At 43.2% G+C, this 17,787-nt stretch overlaps 2 annotated features.

Moving 5' to 3' along the window:
- Nucleotides 8,275-8,424: an enhancer, noted in NCBI's record as "active region_9947". NCBI's record gives its function as "activates an Ori minimal core promoter by ATAC-STARR-seq in GM12878 lymphoblastoid cells {active_cell/tissue: GM12878}" and the evidence as "EXISTENCE:reporter gene assay evidence [ECO:0000049][PMID:35858748]".
- Nucleotides 9,433-9,727: an enhancer, noted in NCBI's record as "tiled region #4802; HepG2 Activating non-DNase unmatched - State 22:ReprW, and K562 Activating DNase matched - State 6:EnhF". NCBI's record gives its function as "activates a minimal TATA promoter and a strong SV40 promoter by Sharpr-MPRA in HepG2 and K562 cells {active_cell/tissue: HepG2 | K562}" and the evidence as "EXISTENCE:reporter gene assay evidence [ECO:0000049][PMID:27701403]".

The following is a 17,787-nucleotide window of genomic DNA, read 5'->3' on the forward strand; positions in this document are numbered from 1 at the left end:
CTACTTCTTTGCTTTCCAGGATCAGGCTCCTGTGAATGGAGGAAAGAAGCTAAAGCCTTAGGGAAGAAAAAGAGATCCTATGCCAAAGCCATCAGGGAATGCAGGGGGACCCTCAGGTCAGCAGCAAACTGGCATTTGGGCGTTTGGGCAAATTAAAATTTCCAATGTGCAACTACCCATTTGAATCATTTCCTTAATTTTTTTTTTTTTGCATTTTATCATCAAGACTATCTGGAAATAAAAGATTATGGTTATCTTATCTAAATTAAAGGGATTGTTTAAAACAAAGGTATTATATCTATTTAATTATTTAACTTCTTCCTTCCACATCCTACCTGCTCCCAGCCCAGCATTTCTAACCACTAGCACTGAAACTCTGGTTTCAGTGAAGTAATAAGCAGATAGAGTTACCATGGTCAATGGCCACTGATGATTTCCATAAAAAGTGGAATGCGTTGCTCATGTCCCCTTTCTGGTGGTGCGGATTGTGATGTGGATCATAATCACATTGGATGGGGGTGGGGTCACTGGGGCACAGCTGGAAGCCTTGCACTTGCCACAAGCTGAGTGGCTGTGGTATGGGGTCCTAGTGTGATGGTCACCAAATGACCCGGCCTCTCTCAGACTGCAATTTCCAGCTTTGAAAGGAATTCTGTGAGGACTCAGTGAAAGGAATAATGACTTTAGCGATCCAGCTTCAAGCACATGCAAAAGCTTGCCATGGGGCTGGGAGATACAATCTAGGCTCCTGTTCTCCCAGCACAAGGAGGAATCACAGCTCAGTATGAAAGGGCGATTGTGAGAGGTGAATAATCTGTGCTTTCTGTCTTTGGACCTCTCTGCCCTCTCCCCAGATAATCCTCAAATATTTCTTATCCTAGGATGCCTGCATCCTAATCCCTGAGATTAGCTCTTAGCAGCTGAAGACAGGCTCACCAACCTTCTCAGAATAGTCCTGCCTTTAATTTCCCCAAGAGAAGCCCATTCTCAGCTCAATGCGTTGCTTCCCGTCATGCTGGTCCACTGCCAGCCTGGGTATACTTGAGCCATTCAGCTTGCAGTTCCTGGCAACCTGCTCTGGGGCAGGCATCAGTGATATAAACGTAAGACCTAATCTGCATGCTCAAAGAGGAATTAATGGAATTACTGCTCATAGAACATAACTTGTTCTTCAGTAGCAATCACTGAAACCTTCAAATCCTGCAAGGCTCAGAGGAATAAATCTGAGGTAGTGCTTATTGGGGCAAAACATACTGGGACAGAAATCTGGACTCGGCACCCTTTGAATCACTCAACTGGCCTCTCTATGCCCTTTATTCTCATGATCCCGTCTGTGAGCACCAATTTCAAGCCTTGCCCAAGAGGGAAGATGTCATACTTGGCTCCCAGACAATCCATCCAACTTATAACTGAAACTGACAAAAAAATTATTGAGATTGTACTTGGTAACTTGTTCCCTGGGAGGGAAGTTCTCTGTCCCTTTAGCATTGTGATGGGGTCATCCTGGGAAGAGGGTGGTGGTTTACACAGGGTGTGACTTCTGTCTGTATAAATGGGCCTTACTTTTGAACGTTGGTAACAGCATACTCTGGCTTAGTTATTATTTTTGGTACTAAAGACTGGGGAAGTATGTGAATTCTTTTGTAGACATTAAGCCTTGAGGCCTGTTTGGAACTGAGATGTGGGGAGAAGTAGAATTTGTGAGTTGCAACAATTTGATGCTGAAAGTTATAGCAGTGCTTAGTGCTTAGAGGTTTCCACTTCTGGTACAATTTGGAAGCCTTTGGGTATTACATAATGTCCTGGGGAATAGGGAGTTGGCCTTAATTGTCACCTAGTTCAGTGGTTCCAAGATACTGGCTGAGGACCAGAACCTATGTGTGTCAAAGATTTCATCAATCTGAGCAAAATGGAAAACAGAGGACTGTGAAATGTCAAGTTACTAATAGTACTATCATGGACTTTTCTTTATTTGGAGATTATATCATTTCTTAGTCTTTGTTGTTAAAAGCTCATTTCATGAATGTAATGGTGTTAGTTTTAATTTTAAAAACTATTCTTGCATTGCAAAATTAATTATCAACCTTATTTTGGTGCTTCCAACATTTAAAAAAAATCACTGTGTTCAGAAATCTTAAAGTCTGAGAACTACTGACTGTGACTACCTATGAATGAATTTTTTGTGTTTGTTTTTAAGAGACATGATTTTGTTCTATCCCCCAGGCTGAATGCAGTGGTATAATGACAGCTAACAGTAACCTCAAACTCCTGGGCTTAAGTAATCCTCCTACCTCAGTCTCCCAAGTAGCTGGGACTACAGGCATGTACCACCATGCCTGACCAATTTTTATTTTATTTTATTTTTGTAGAGACAGGGTCTCGCTTTGTTGCCCAGAATCAGGCTAGTCTTAAACTCCTGGCTTCAAGCTATCTTCCTTCCTCCACCTCCCAAAGTGCTGGGATTACAGATGTGAGCCACTGTGCCTGGCCCCATGAAATACTTTGAGTCCTAGGGTATTTTCCCCCCAATATTCATTTGAGTTAGTGCAATCATTTTTTAAAAAGCATATGTGAAAATATTTCCAAAGGTGAATCCAAGTAAAGAAGCGTTTCTTAAGAGTGGGGACATCCCTTGTTACAACAAAACCACTACTTATTTTTGTTAGTAAATTCATCTTCAGTTTAACCAGCTTGAGGAAATATGCCTGTATACTCTAGATAGTCCAGGCCACTGGTTCTCAAACTTGCCTGTCCATCAGAATTGCCTGGAGGGCTTATTAAACACAAGCTGTGGGACCCCACCCCCAGTTTCTGAATCTGTAGGTCTGGGATGGGACAGGGCCTGAAAATTTGCACTTCAGACAAGTTCCAAGTGATGCTGAGGCTGCTGGATGGGACCACACTTTAAGAACCAATGGAGTAGGTCACTGATTATCAGCCTTGGCTGCACAGTGGATTCACTTGAGGAGTTAAAAAAAATACTGATGCCTGGATCCTATCCCCAGATATTTGAACACCAGGATTCTTAAAAGGGCCCCAAGTGATTATAGTAAGTAGCAAAGTTTGAGAACCACTGGACCATAGTGACTTCAGCACAAAAGTTTATTTCTCATGCCAGTGTAGTATGGGGGAGAGAAGGGAGAGAGACTTGGTCCATACAATCACCCAAGTACCCAGGCTGGTGGAGTTGATGCCATCTGGAATTCATCTTTGTGCCTGCAGCAAGGAAAAAGATAGCCTGCTGGTTCTTCAATGATTCCACCCAAAAGTGACTCGGAAGTGTTCTGTGTCACAGCTAATTGGTCAGAAACAGTCATGTGCCCTAGCTGCAAGGTAACTGGGAATTTAAAGAAGCACATGGCATTTGGGATCAGTAAATTTCTCTGCCTCAGTGACACTTCCCTGATACAGTGTAATCTTCTATGGGCCTTGTCTTAGACTACTTTATGTTGCTATAAGGCTGGGTAATTTATAAAGGCTGGGTAATTTATAAAGAAAAGGGGTTTATTTGGCTTACGGCTCTGCAGGATGTACAAGAAGCCTGGCACCAGCATCTGCTTCTGGTGAGGGTCTCAGGCTGCTTCTACTCATGGAAGAAGATGCAGGAGAGCCAGTGTGTGCAGAGATCACATGACGAGAGGGGGAATAAGAGAACGGGGGAAGATACCAGGTTCTTTTTAACAACCAGCTCTTGAGGGAGCTAATGGAGTGAGAACTCACTCGTTCCCCTCTTCCAGGGAGGGCATTAATCTATTCATGGGGGAATTCACCCCTGACCCAAACATCTCCCATTAGGCGCCACCTTCAACACTGGGAATCAAAAGTGAACGTAAGATTTGGAGGGATAGACATCCAAACTATAGCAGGCCTGATCAGATGCCCTTCTAAAAGATAGCTTCTCAACTGATGCTTTTACAGTGACCTTTTTCTGTCATAAGAATGCCTACCCACTGTAGACAACTTTTAAAAATTAAAAAAAAAACTAAAAAAAAAGAAATCTCTATAACATGCTACTACTGGGAGATTACCACTCTAAATTTCAGGCATATGTCCTTCCAATAATTTCTTTCTATATATATATTCTTTTTTTTTTTTTTTTTTTTTTTTTTTTAGACAGAGTCTCACTCTGTCACCCAGGCTGGAGTGCAGTGGCACAATCTTGGCTCACTACAAGTTCTGCCTCCTGGGTTCACGCCATTCTCCTGCCTCAGCCTCCTGAGTAGCTGGGACTACAAGCGCCTGCCACTACTCCCGGATAATTTTTGTATTTTTAGTAGAGACAGGGTTTCACCACGTTAGCCAGGATGGTCTCAATCTCCTGACCTCGTGATCAGCCTGCCTTGATCTCCCAAAGTGCTGGGATTACAGGCATGAGCCACCATGCCCAGCCCTCTATACATATTCTTTAACATGGTTAATTGCTTAGAATTTTTTTTGTAACCTCCTTTTTTTTTTTGAGATGGAGTTTCGCTCTTGTCACCCAGGCTGGAGTACAGTGGCATGATCTCAGCTCACTGCAACCTCCACCTCCCGAGTTCAAGTGATTCTCCTGCCTCAGCCTCCCAAGTAGCTGGAATTACAGGCACCCTTCACCATGCCCAGTTAATTTTTGTATTTTTAATAGAGACAGGGTTTCGCCATGTTGGGCAGGCTGGTCTCGAACTCCTGACCTCAAATGATCTGCCTGCCTCGGCCTCCCAAAGTGCTGGGATTACAGGTGTGAGTCACCACGCCCGACTGTAACCTGCTTTTTTTTTTTGCGTAGCATTTTACCATTTTGTTAAAATTAATTGAATTTAAGTGTTATTAAAATACTATTTTAATTCTATTGCATGGGTATACTACAATATAATTGGTCATTTCTTCCTCGTTAGAAATTTTGGTGGTTGTTTTGTCAATAGCTTACTATTGTAAGTAGTATTTGCATGAACATCTTTATGAACAAATTCCCCCCATATTTCTGATCATTTACTTGGATACATGAACAGGCTTATTTTAAGTTACCTATTATTGTACAGCAACTGTTTCTGTACTTAGTAACACATATTTAATAAGTATTAATACTGTGCAAGGCATTGATGGAGAAATGATTGAGCTTGATCCTTGCCTTCTCTAGTAGCTCAGCTTCTAGCTGGGGAATAAGATAGAAACACAAATAGCCCTAATCCCAAGGAGAAAGAGACCTAATGTTTCTTCAAGTGATTTTCCCAAAACCATCCTGTCTATGGTACACAAACTCCTGGAACAATGAGTCAGTGCTCTCTGGCAGTCAATGGCTAAGAGCTCTAGTTGGGGCTCAACTCTACCTCCCTGCATGACCTTGAACAAGCTTCCCTCTCTAGGCCTCAGTTTCCTTGTCTTTAAATGAGGGCATTAGACTAGGTCATTTGTAGTGGGGCCATTCTGTGCCCCCTAAATAGTTGAAGGGTATGAATCAGCATGACTGTGTACTTTCCTTTTTTAGGTGTCTAATTATTTCTAGCAATCTGGGACGGGCTCTTTAGGGACTTGTTGGAAGGCAGTGGGGTGGCCCAGGGTCCATTTCTGCCATGGGACTCTAGGATGACATCTTTGTGCAAACCAAATTAGTAATGAAAGAGCAGGGTCTGGGCTTATAGGCAAGGAGGAGCTGAGAGAAAGCTCTTAAGAGAAGGAGTTTAAAATGAGGGGCAGTTTTTTGGCATTGGAAGTAAATATTAATGCTAACAATAATCACCAGCTATGCTTGAGGTACCTCCAAACCCATTCCATACAATATTTCATTTGGTAAGTGTTTTTAACCCCATTTTAAAAATGGTGCCCTTGAAGCTCAAAGAGGAGACATGAACTGCTTTGTGGGTGTTGCCGCAGGGAAAGTCAGCTCATCGCCAGAATTGCAAAGAAAAGCAAAAAAAGTGAATTCTTTTTAAAAAAAATTTAGTTACTTTCTTTCTCTTTTTTCCTTTTTAAATTTATTTAAAATTTTTCCCTTTATTTTTATTTTTTGACTTTTTTATTATTTTATTTTTATACTATATTTTACGTGGTACGATCCCTACTGAAAAAAAAAGCAAATTCTCATTTTTTGAGTCTAAAGTCTGGGGTCAAAGTCTAATGAGGGGATTTTATGGGATTTCTTTGGAGGATAATTGTAATAACAAGCACTTTAATCTTAGATGCTGTGTTTAAAAAGGAATAGCCCTCCCTCCCCATCTTTCCCAAGACTCCAGTGCATTTTTCCCTCTGCCACAAACTTGCATCTGTTTCCCCTTACAGTTTTCTGTTTTCATTAGGATGCTTTAGGATGAACCAGATAAGGCCTTACCTCACATAACAGTTGATCAAAGCTGGTAGTTTGGAGCCTCAAGTGCATTTTGCCTGTGGAAAACGTACTAGAACTGCTGCTTAGAATCCTCAGGCAACCCGCACATCTTCGTGCACCAAAATGTGGCTCGGCTGTAGCACAGAAGCTCTTCTCCGTGTTGGCAGCAAAAGACGGTGGAAATGGAAATGGCCAGTTTGCAGAGAGAAACAGTGACTCTAGCCAGGCCCCTGAGTTGGGAAATGGGAGAATTTGTCTTCAGCATCATCTTCCTTGTAATTTCGTATCCTTTGCCCCAGGCTTTCCTAATAATAACTGACACCTACATGATACTTTCTATGTTCTAGGTGCATTTCCAAGCACTTAGAATTGTTCCTTTGTATCTGTGGGGGATTGATTCCAGGACCCCCTTGGATACTAACATCCCTGGATGCTCAACTCCCTGATGTAAAATGGTGTTGTATTTGCATATAATCTGTGCACATCCTCCTGTATACTTTATTATTATCATTTTGAGATGGAGTCTTATTCCATCACCCAAGCTGGAGTGTAGTGGCACGATCATGGCTCACTGTAGTCTCGACCTCTAGGGTCTCAGGTGATCCTCCCACTTCATCCTTCTGAGTAGCTGGAACTACAGGTGCAGGCTACCACATGGGGCTAATTTTTATATATTGCAGATTAATTTTGCAGATTGATAATTTACCACCAGCATGTGAATGACTCATACATATAGTCTTCATCTTCACAGATTAGCTTCTATTTTTTTTGTAGAGATGGGTTTCACCATGTTGCCCAGGCTGGTCTTGAACTTGTGGGCTCAAGCCTTCTGCCTGCCTTGGACTACAGAAGTGCTGGGATTATAGGCGTGAGCCACTGCACCCAGCCCTGTATACTTTAAATCATATCTAGATTACTTATAATACCTACTACAATGTAGATGTTATGTAAATAATTGTTATACCGTGTTGTTTAGGGAATAATGACAATATAAAAAAGTCTCTACTTGTTCAGTTCAGACATCAGACATCATTTTTTCTTTTCTTTTCTTTTCTTTCTTTCTTTCTTTTTTTTTTTTTTTTTTAAAGAGTCTCACTCTGTTGCCCAGGCTGGAGTGCAGTGGTGGATCTTGGCTCACTGCAACCTCTACCTCCTGGGTTCAAGGGATTCTCCTGCTTCAGCCTCCTGAGTAGCTAGGACTACAGGCATGCACCATCATGCCCAGCTAATTTTTGTATTTTTAATGGAGACGGGGTTTCACCATGTTGCCCAGGCTGGTCTTGAACTCCTGACCTCAAGCGATCCACCTGCCTTGGCCTCCAATAGTGCTGGGATTACAGGTATGAGCCACCACACCCAGCCCAGACATCATTTTTTCTTTCAAATATTTTCTGTCTGCAGTTCGTTGAACCCACAGATATGGAGCCCACAGATACAGAGGGCTGACTGTATACATTAACTCATTTAATCCTCATGATAACCCTAGGCGCGTTGGCTCACACCTGTAATCCCAGCACTCTGGGAGGCCAAGGCGGGTGGATTACCTGAGGTCAGGAGTTTGAGACCAGCCTGGCCAACATGGTGAAACCCCGTCTCTACTAAAAAATACAAAAAATTAGCCGGGTATGGTGGCAGGCACCTGTAATCTAAGGTACTTGGGAGGCTGAGGCAGGAGAATCGCCTGAACCCCAGAGGCGGAGGTTGCAGTGAGCCAAGATTGCGCCATTACACTCCAGCCTGGGCAACAAGAGCAAAACTCCATCTCAAAAAAAAAAAAAAGAACGTAAGGAAGCAAAAAATGTGAGGGAGTTTTTACGCATGGAGGGTTAATAAACTCAAGATGGCAGGGGTTCACAAAAGCCCATAGAACATACTGTCTATTTATTGGGCTCTTGCTATGTACTACACACTTTACATACATCCTCATTTCATACAGTACCTTGATGAAATATGCACATTTAAGAATCAGAGTCTAACAGACCTTAGGCAAGTTGTCCGAGGTCGTACAGCGGATGGGTGGCAGAGCCAGAATTTGGACCCAGGACTCTTTTGACTCCAGCATTTGCAATCTCAAATAGTGTTTCATCGGCCTTTTTATGGCTTGTGGATGACTATTGTTGTGAGGAGGATCAACGGTGCAGGGTCAGAAATGCAGTTTTGACTCCTATTGTTGGCAGTCAAATTACTGCTTGCTTCTGCTAATTTGCTTCCTGTCCTGCTTAGGCTGCAACCAGGGCAGAGTTTCGTTCGCTCCCTGGGCAGCTGTCCTGCCAGCATTACCTCATTCCATCTTGAACCCTCCCGCAGCCCAACAGGGAAGGGCTGAGAAGCACGTGGCCCAGGACAGAAGGCCAGGAACGAACTGCCTCACCAGGGACTCTAGCCTTGATTCTCTGAAAAAATGTGGTTTGCTCAGAGAAGCTTTTACCCAAGAGGAAGGAAAACTACGGCAATCGAGTTTCAGCTGACCTTAAAACCCCTGTGATCTTAGTCCCCGTCATTTAGTGAATTCTGCATATTACTCAGCTTCTCCATTGTGTAGCTGGAGGAAATATTCATGCTGTGTCATCTTTGGTAGTCAGTGGGCAGTTTTCTCCCTGCCGAGTTTACTTTTTTTGCATTTTGAAGTTCAAGATCAGGTTGGGTGTTTGAGTGATCTACGTCTGGGAGCCAGAGGAGGTTTTGTATTCAATGGTGACCAGCATGTGTTCCCAGCCTAAGCATGAATGAAAACAGTTCAGAACATTTTTTTCCTCTCCAGCTCCTTTCAAGGGGCACGTGCCCATAAGGCCAACCCTGAATGATTTGGGCAAGTAAGTATGGACAGCCAAACTCAGAGGAGAGAGGAATTGGATGAGGCTAATGTCAAGGTCTTATCGGGAAGGCTAAAGAAACCTGAGTTGGTCCTGGGAAGAATGAGCAAGATGGAGTGGGCTTGGGCTTTCTCTCCTGCTTGGGGTTGCAGGCAGAAGCCACAAGAGTGTGCTGACAATGAGGGAGGAGGGGACCATCTGGCTGGAGAATTGGCTCATTAGGGAGCACAGACTGGACGAAGTTGGAAGGGACGTGTGGCCTGATTTTTAAAAGGGCGGCCTGAGTGCCATGCAGAGAAGCTGCATTTTATCGCGGACTTGATGATGGTGGACTGGAAGTTTAAAAGGAGGATTATGATGAAAGCAGAGATCCAGAGCAAACACTTTAAAGGAGCTGGATGGGACAGACAGGAAGCAGGGAGCCCAGAGAGGCCATGATTTCATTCATAACAGGTCTGAGGGGTTGAGGCCCTGACTGGGGAAGTTAAGCAGGATGGGAGGAGACAAACGCCAGCCACACAGAAGAAAGATCCTACGAAGCCAGACTGTGGTGGAGGCAGGGGGAAGGAGGGGTTGGACACCTCCGAGGTGCTGCTGCGAAATCACTAACAGAAAAGAGGCTTTGATTTAGAGGTGAATGGTAAACTTTTCCTTTTTCTAAGTAAACTTTTAATTCAAGCGTAACATATATACAAGTGCACAAATCATGGGTATAAATGTCGATGAATCTTCGCACAGTGGACACACTTGTGAAACCAGCAGCTAGATCAGGAAACAACACAACCATCACTGCAGACCCGCTTTCCCTGTGTCCCCTTCCTTTTCCTCATGCCTTCTGCCAAGGATGCCGCCACCCTGACTTCTAAATACCTTGTTTTTCATTCAGTATGTTGTGAAATTCATCCATGTTGTTGCATACACTTGCAGTTCATCCTTTCCCAATATTGCACAGTATTTCACTACGTAAATGTAATACAACTCTTTTATCTCGTCTGTTGTTGGGAGACATTTGAGTTGTTCCCAGGTCAGCGCTGTTAGGAACAGGGCTTCTGTGAGCACAGTTGTGAACGTGTGCTCCTAGCCTACATGAACGTATGTCTCTTGGTTGTGTACCAAGGAGTAGGCTTTCTGGGTCGTAGGGCAGGCACATATTCAGTTTGCATAGACATTGTCAAACACACACATGGGATTTTGTTTTGTTTTGTTTTTGAGACAGAGTCTCAGTCTGTTGCCCAGGCTGGAGAGCAGTGGACCCATCTTGGCCCACTGCAACCTCTGCCTCCTGGGTTCAAGTAATTCTTATGCTTCAGCCTCCCAAAAAGCTGGGATTATAGGTGTGTGCCGCCACACCCGGCTATTTTTTGTATTTTTAGTAGAGATGAGGTTTTACCATATTGGCCAGGCTGGTCTCAATCCTGGCCTCAAGTGATCCGCCTGCCTCAGCCTCCCAAAGTGCTGGGATTACAGGCATGAACCACCACGCCTGGCCTGCACGTGGGATTTGATAATTGAATTTTAAGTAGCAGGTGTGGAACAAGTTGGTGAGTGGGATTAGGGCTGCAGCTCTTGATAGGTGAAAGACGAGTTCAAATTTTGTATCATGAAAGAAAGTTGAAGGAACATCTTACTTGCTTTTGAGACATAGCTCAAAGTCACTTTAGTCCTTGAGCAGTGTACTGGAGCTGTGTGAGAGGGGACCACACCCCATCCCAGCAAAGAACTGCCAACAGTCATGTTAGGTTTCCTAGACTCTCGGCTAGGAGGATCCCTAGGCCAAGTTTCTTTGTCTCTTCCCCTTAATGGAATATGTGGAAAGTATATATATTTTTTAGTTTTGTTTTTTTGTTGAAGTGTTGGGCTTTCTCTTGGGTTTATGACATGTGCTCCATTGTACTAATCCATTTCTCACAGTTCCATCTCTCATAGCAATTCATGTAATTGCTGCAATTTTAACATTTTGGAACGTATGTAGTGGGGGAGGGGTGCAAGAAGATCTGGCAGTTTCTGCTACAGCTAGCTAATGGCTAATGGGGGTGCCCCATAGATCTTTGTGGCAAAACAAAGAGTTAGACAGTGCAAAACAAGCTCTGGAAGGAACAGGGTCTGGCAGGAGAGATCTTCTTTCTCCAGGGAAGCTTTTGCCTGCAGACCAGAAAAGGAGTTTTCCGACTCCTTTGCATCTTAAAAAAAAAATTCTGTCTTCTGTACAACTAAATACTTATGTAGCCCAGATGTTAGCTTGAGGCCTCCCTACCCCACAAGAACTTTGCAAAATTAGCTCAAACCTCTACCAATTCTACGGTCCACAAAAGTTGAAATTCTTCCCCAAGATTTCTCCTAATTTTCAGAGAACTTATGCTCAGGGCCATGTGGTCCTTTAAGTTTTGTTACCCAAAGCGGGTCCAGAGACCAGCAGTGCTGCTATCGCCTGGGAGCTTGTTAGAAATGTAGACTCTCAGTTTCAACCCTGGAGTCTGAATCTACTGTTAGGTTATGAATGTGTCCCTTAAAGTTCACATGTTGGAAACTTATCCCTAAAGCAACAATGTGGAGAGGTGAGACCTTTAGGAGGTAATTAGGTCATGAGAGCTCTGCCCTCATGAATAGATTAATGCTGTTATAGCAAGAGTTACAAAGAATACATTATAAAGAAGGAGTTTGGCCCCTCATCCTCCACCTCTCTTTCCCCATGTAATACCTTCTGTCATGTTATGACAAAGTAAGGAGGCCCTCACCAAATGCCAGCCCCTTGATCTAGGACTTCTCAGCCTCCATAATCATGAGCCAATAAATTCCTGTTTGTTATAAATTACCCAATCTGTGATTTTCTGTTATAGCAGCACAAAACAGAGACACTTCCTGAATCAGAACCTGCATTTTCCCAAGGCCCCCAAGTGACTTGTGTGCATGGCATAATTTCAGAAGCACAGCTGTAGGGGAACAGAAGAAGCTCTAGCATCTAACAGATCTGGGTTCAAATCCTAGCTCTGGCATTTAGTAGCTGGTGACCTTGAGCACATCACTTTCCCTCACTGAGGCTTGGTTTCCTCCTCTGTGAAATGATGATTGCACTCTCAATGCCACAGCATATGGAAGCCAACAGATTACCAGGTGAGATAATACACAAAGCCAGCACATGGAGATTCTCTAAAAATATCCTCTGTCCTTCCTGGACTCACCCAGCCTCAGAAACAATGGAATGCATGCATCCTCTCATATCACAAGGCTTCTAGGGATCCCAGGGATGCCTTCTTGCCTGACTTCAGCAGGTCGGCATGCATTGAATTTTTCTGGAGATAATGACAGTGGGCATACATAACTGCTCATACTCTCCAGCTTCGCCCATTAATCTCAACACTTACTGTGTGGTACATGCCTGGGTATATCAGACTGAGAGGGGGACAGGGCTTTTCATTCCTTAATCTATGGATGGATGAATTCGATTGCTACCATCATAATATGGATGCAGGTAACCATGCCTCTATTTCCACTGTGTTTAAAATGTCACAATATTATAGCATAGCATAGTTAGGATGTGGGTCCTCCCACAGTAATGGTACCTAAGGAAGGAGGTGAGGCCTTGGAGAATGACTTTAGTCTCTTGGTTCCAGGCAATAGAAACCTGGCTTAACCCAGCTTGTACAAAAGTGGGTTGGTTCATGGTCTCCTAGAAGGGAATGAGCCAAAAAACAAAGGCATAGCAGGGCCTCAGGAAAAATCAAATCTTGGAACCTTGAATGCTTAGGGACTTGCTCTCCATTTTTCTTCCCTGTTTCTTTTTGCATGTTAACTTCATTCTCACCGAGCACCAGACTTTTCTCAAATGGTAAGAAACGTGACCACCATTTATGGTCCATATGATGGGAAACAGATATTCTATATCCGTGCATGAATAAATGATAGTTATCTATATCTATGTCTAGGTCTGTATTTATATCTATGATGATATAAAGTAGTTCTTCACACTAAAGGGTGAAATAAGCCCAATATATCAGAAGTGCCCTTCCTGTGAATAAAAGCAATCTGCATTTCACTCTCTCATTTGGGATTTGTTCCCAAGTTACCCACAGCTCAGATCCTTTCTACATGCCATCAGAAGGTAACCAACCCCCAGTGAAAAGGTAAAGAACAGTCTATAAATTTGGTGGTTGCAACATCTTAAAATGAAGAGGGGCAGTAGTGCAGAGAGAGGAGTCACCAGTGCAGTCTAGAGAAAGGAGGCTGGGGGAGTGGGCAATAAGAATCTTGGGAATTTGGGAGTGGCAGAACCAAATGCTACAATCTCTGCATTGCCAATCAGTAGGAGCGAGAAGGATAGTTTGATCCTGACAACTCCAGTGGGAATTAATACTTAGGGAAAAGAAGCATGTCAGAAACTGAGGATGCAAGTGAGCCTTGGGAAAGCATTCCAATATTTGTACCTTTACAAAAATCATATATTAAATTAAGATAATATCAGTAACATTTAGCATACTTCATATTAGTAACAGTAAATATTATGTAAGGAATTCTCATTTATCATTCCTTATTTGGTACAAGCTTTTTAGAAACTTCTTCCTCCTCCATTTTAACTAGATGGTCATAAATTCATTTTGTGTTGCTGCTAAAGATATGCATAATACACCAGCATCTGCACAGTCTCTGCACCCTGTTTAAAACCTCTCTATTTTTAAGATATAGGATTGCCAGGTTCTGCTGCCAGTTCTCACTGGGTTCCAAAAATCTCTTCCAGGTCTTCCTTCCCAACAGGGGTGTTCTGAAGTGCTCTACTGCAGGACTTCTCAAACTGTACTGTGCATGTGAATCCCCCAGGGATCTGGTTAAAATGCAGAGTCCTACTCCGCAGGCTTGCAGTGGGGCTGAAGGTTTGCATTTCTAATGAGCTCTCAGGTGATGCAGAGGCAGCTGGCACAGAGACCCCCACTTGGAGCAGCTCAGCAAGGCTCTCTGTGGGCTTTTCCTTCGCTGCAGTTGGCTTTATGCCCCCCAGTCCTTCAGCAGGAGGCTTCACTTCTTTGCCATCTGCTTGGCTTCTCTTTCTAGCCCCCATATTCTCATCTTCTAATTATCCCCAACAGGGGTGCTTCACTTAAATAAAATTTCCCCAGGTTTCTCAGGAATAAAATCGGAATGGCTAGAGTTTCTCACCAGGGAACCTCCCCAATGAGGATAAGGAGTGAAGGAGGGAAAGGCTGGGAGTAATTGGACAAGGAACATAGATTTTAGAAAAGGAGAGTCAGCAAGAAATAGGTGTCATGCTAGGGTCAGAGGATCTCAAAGGGTCTATATTGCTTCAGGACTGGGAGGGTCTGAAAAATGAAATTCCAGTCATGTAATTGTGACTCAGCCTGTGGAATGAACTTTGTGTGCTCACTCATACACGTTCTTTTCCTTCCTGGTACTCACTTGCCTACCCCCTTGTAGTTAGGTGGGGCCATGTGATGAATTCTGGCTGGTGGTTTGTGAGTGGAAGTAATGTGTATCACCCCTATGCTGAAGCATTTACCTGCTGGTATAAGACCCTTGAGCACTCTCTTGCCCTGCTGCATTGATGAAGAAGGCCACCTGTTTCAGTGGTGCAATATAGGATGTTGAGCCTTTGTCAACCTGTTTTGCTGAGTCATCGTTGCTTTGTCAGCCTATTTCGTGGGTCATCACTGGTTGAGTGATCAAGACTTAAACATTGTTTGTCATTGCTTTAACTAGGAGCAGTGTTTGTTATTGCAGCAAAAACTAGCTTATCCTGACTAATATATTGCACAGTGAGAGAGGGAAGGAGGAAGCATGGAGGGAATTAGTGAAGCTTCTTGGAAGCTCCTCCAGGTACAGACTTAGACCATATATAAAAGATGGAGGAAGCAGGGCTGCCTCCAAACAGAGCTCAGGAAGAACAGAGGCTTAAACTAGAGCTTGAGAAGAGCAGAGGCTTGGAGAAAATGCTGAACTCATCAGAAGGAGGTTTTATGGCTCTGTATAGATCAAGAAGAACAAGAAAAGGAAAGACACATTGTTTGGAGGAAATGATGTAAATATACCAGGGAACAAAGAGGAAGCAAAACTGCTCACCTCCTACTTTGCTTCCATTTTCCATAGCAAGGGAAATAATCTTTAATCTAAAAAGGATGAAACAAAAGGCATGCAGAGGGAAGTGGTGTTTAAGACATTAGACAATGAGCTTTGTCTCTTCAGCATCTAACATCGCACTGGCACAGTGGTGTTGCTCAAGAACGTTTGCTGAATGAATGAATAAAAATATGTGAAGGGGTAGGAAGAGGTTCTAACTTTTTTCATTGGATTTAAGTCCTTGGGCCCTGATGAATTAAATTCCAAGGTCCTGAGAGGAAGTGCAGCTGTGAAAGCAGAAGTAGTGTTAGTAATCTTCCAGAAATCAAGGGCAATGGGAAAGGGAGGGGTCAGATTAGAAATCTGAGTTCTTTTAATAAAGGGAGGAATAAAGGGGGAATCCAGAACCTCTCCAACAGTGAATTAATTTTAACTTCTGGCACGATTCTAGAAGCAGCTATTCCCATTTGTCTTCTAGAAATGAGTCTATTAAGTTGATGACTTAGGAACAACTGGGAAATAAAATAGTTATTGGGAGTCTATTTATACTTAGAATTGCTTATTTTTATTGAGGACTTACCTAGTGCCAATCAATGTGCAATCAACAATTGCACATTGATTATTTTAGTCAGCGCTCATCATCATCTAATGAGGCACCACATTCTTACAGTTGAGGACATGGATCATACCATCAAGATCCACATCCTGCTCTCCCTGACTCCAAAAACAGCACTCTCCACCATGAAGCTGCAAGAGCCCCCACAACTGGTGGAGAGCTGTTGGGGGAGGGGAGAAGACTGGCTGGAGGGTGGGATAAGTTAAAGCCCCTTCACCTGTGGCCACAGAGACCACCCTACATGCTTCCCTATGTTTACAAAATCAGAATAGCCTGGAAGTCAGCATGTGGCTGAAGCATCCCTCTTGACCAGGATGCACAGCAGAGCTTCACAACCACTGCCTAGGAGGATGGAAATGGCGGTCCTCACCAATTTGAAGGACATTGATATGAAAGAAGAAACAGGGAAGATAACCGTTATTGTTTGGATATTTGTCCCCTCCAAATCACATGCTAAAATGTGATCCCCAGTGTTGGAGGTGGACCTAGTGGGAGGTCATGGGGGTGGATCCCTCATAAATGGCTTAGTACCCTCCTCCTGGTAGTAAGTTCTCATTCTATTAGTTCACGTGGGATCTGGTTGTTAAAAAGAGTCTAGGTCCTCCCTCCTGTCTCTACTGCTCCCATTCTCACCGTGTGACACCCCTGCTCCTCCTTTGACTTCTGTCATGATTGTAAGCTCCCTGAGACCTTACCAGAAACAGATGCCAGCTCTATGCTTCTTGTACAGTCTACAGAACTCTGAGCCAAAATAAACCTGTTTTCTTTATAAATTATCCAGCCTCAGGCATTCCTTTGTAGCAATGCAAAATGAACTAGTGCAATATGTTAGCTTGAAATAGCCAATTTCCCTCTTGTTGATTGTCGTCTGTTGATTTTTTCCTTCTGTGCAGCCTTCACATCATTAGGGGAAAGCCATAGGCTGATTTGCTCACAGGAAGGAGAGGACAGATGCGTGACAGAGCTCATGGGGCAATGGGAAAATATTGTCAAGCAGAAATGAAGTTAGAAAGATGCTCAAAGGAAAGAAAGATGGGCAAGAGGTGCAAATGAGTATCTGCCAGTTCCTCAAACTCCCACGCTGCCCCCAAACACCACTAGAGTCGAATTCTTGAGTGGGGGTGGTGGCAAGTAAAGGCACACACGAGTTTGAGAGAAACCCAGAGCATGGCACATTTGCAGCTTCCCAAGGCATGTCCTGGTAAAATTCTAAGCCCTTTAAAGTCCACCCTCAATTCCCCAAAGCCAATACTGTATTAATATCTGGTCATATTTAAGGTGCATGACACATTGTTCCAAAACCCTTAGTGCAATTCCCAGCTTTAATAACTTCAGAAGTATAAATGAAACAAACTTACAAAAGAGGTTATATAAAAATGTAATTATTTAAATTCCATTTACACTTATTGCATTTGTGAATTTGAAGCAATGTATTTTTTAATTTGACATTTTAAAAAATGATAGACTCCTCTTGCAGATGGTAAGCATTGACTGAAACAAACAATTAAAAATGGGATTGTTCTAAATTCACAAAACTAAAAAGGTCTAAAAGAAACTTGAATAACTAAAACTTCAGATTTTTTTTTGGTAAAGTTTGCAACATTTATTTACACTTCTGCAATGATTAAAGCTTAGCACGGGCAGGGCATGGTGGTTCACACCTGTAATCTCGGCACTATGGGAGTCGAGGTGGCAGGATTACTTGAGGCCAGGAGTTTGAGAATAGCCTGGGCAACACAGTGAGGCCCCATCTCTAAAAAAAAATTTACAAAGTAGCTGGACATGGTGGCATCTACCCATAGTCCCCGCTACTTGGGAGGGTGAGGCAGAAGGATGGCTTGAGTCCAGGAGTTTGAGGTTGCAGTGAGCTATGATTGTACCTGCTGCACTCCACCCTGGGCACCTGTCTCCAAAGAAAGAAAGAAAGAAAAAAGAAAAAAGAGCTTAAAACTTCTCTAAGATGTTGGAAACACTGTATAAGAAGGCAGTTTCTC

Source organism: Homo sapiens, chromosome 15 (assembly GCF_000001405.40).
Source record: "Homo sapiens chromosome 15, GRCh38.p14 Primary Assembly".
NCBI lineage: Eukaryota > Metazoa > Chordata > Mammalia > Primates > Hominidae > Homo > Homo sapiens.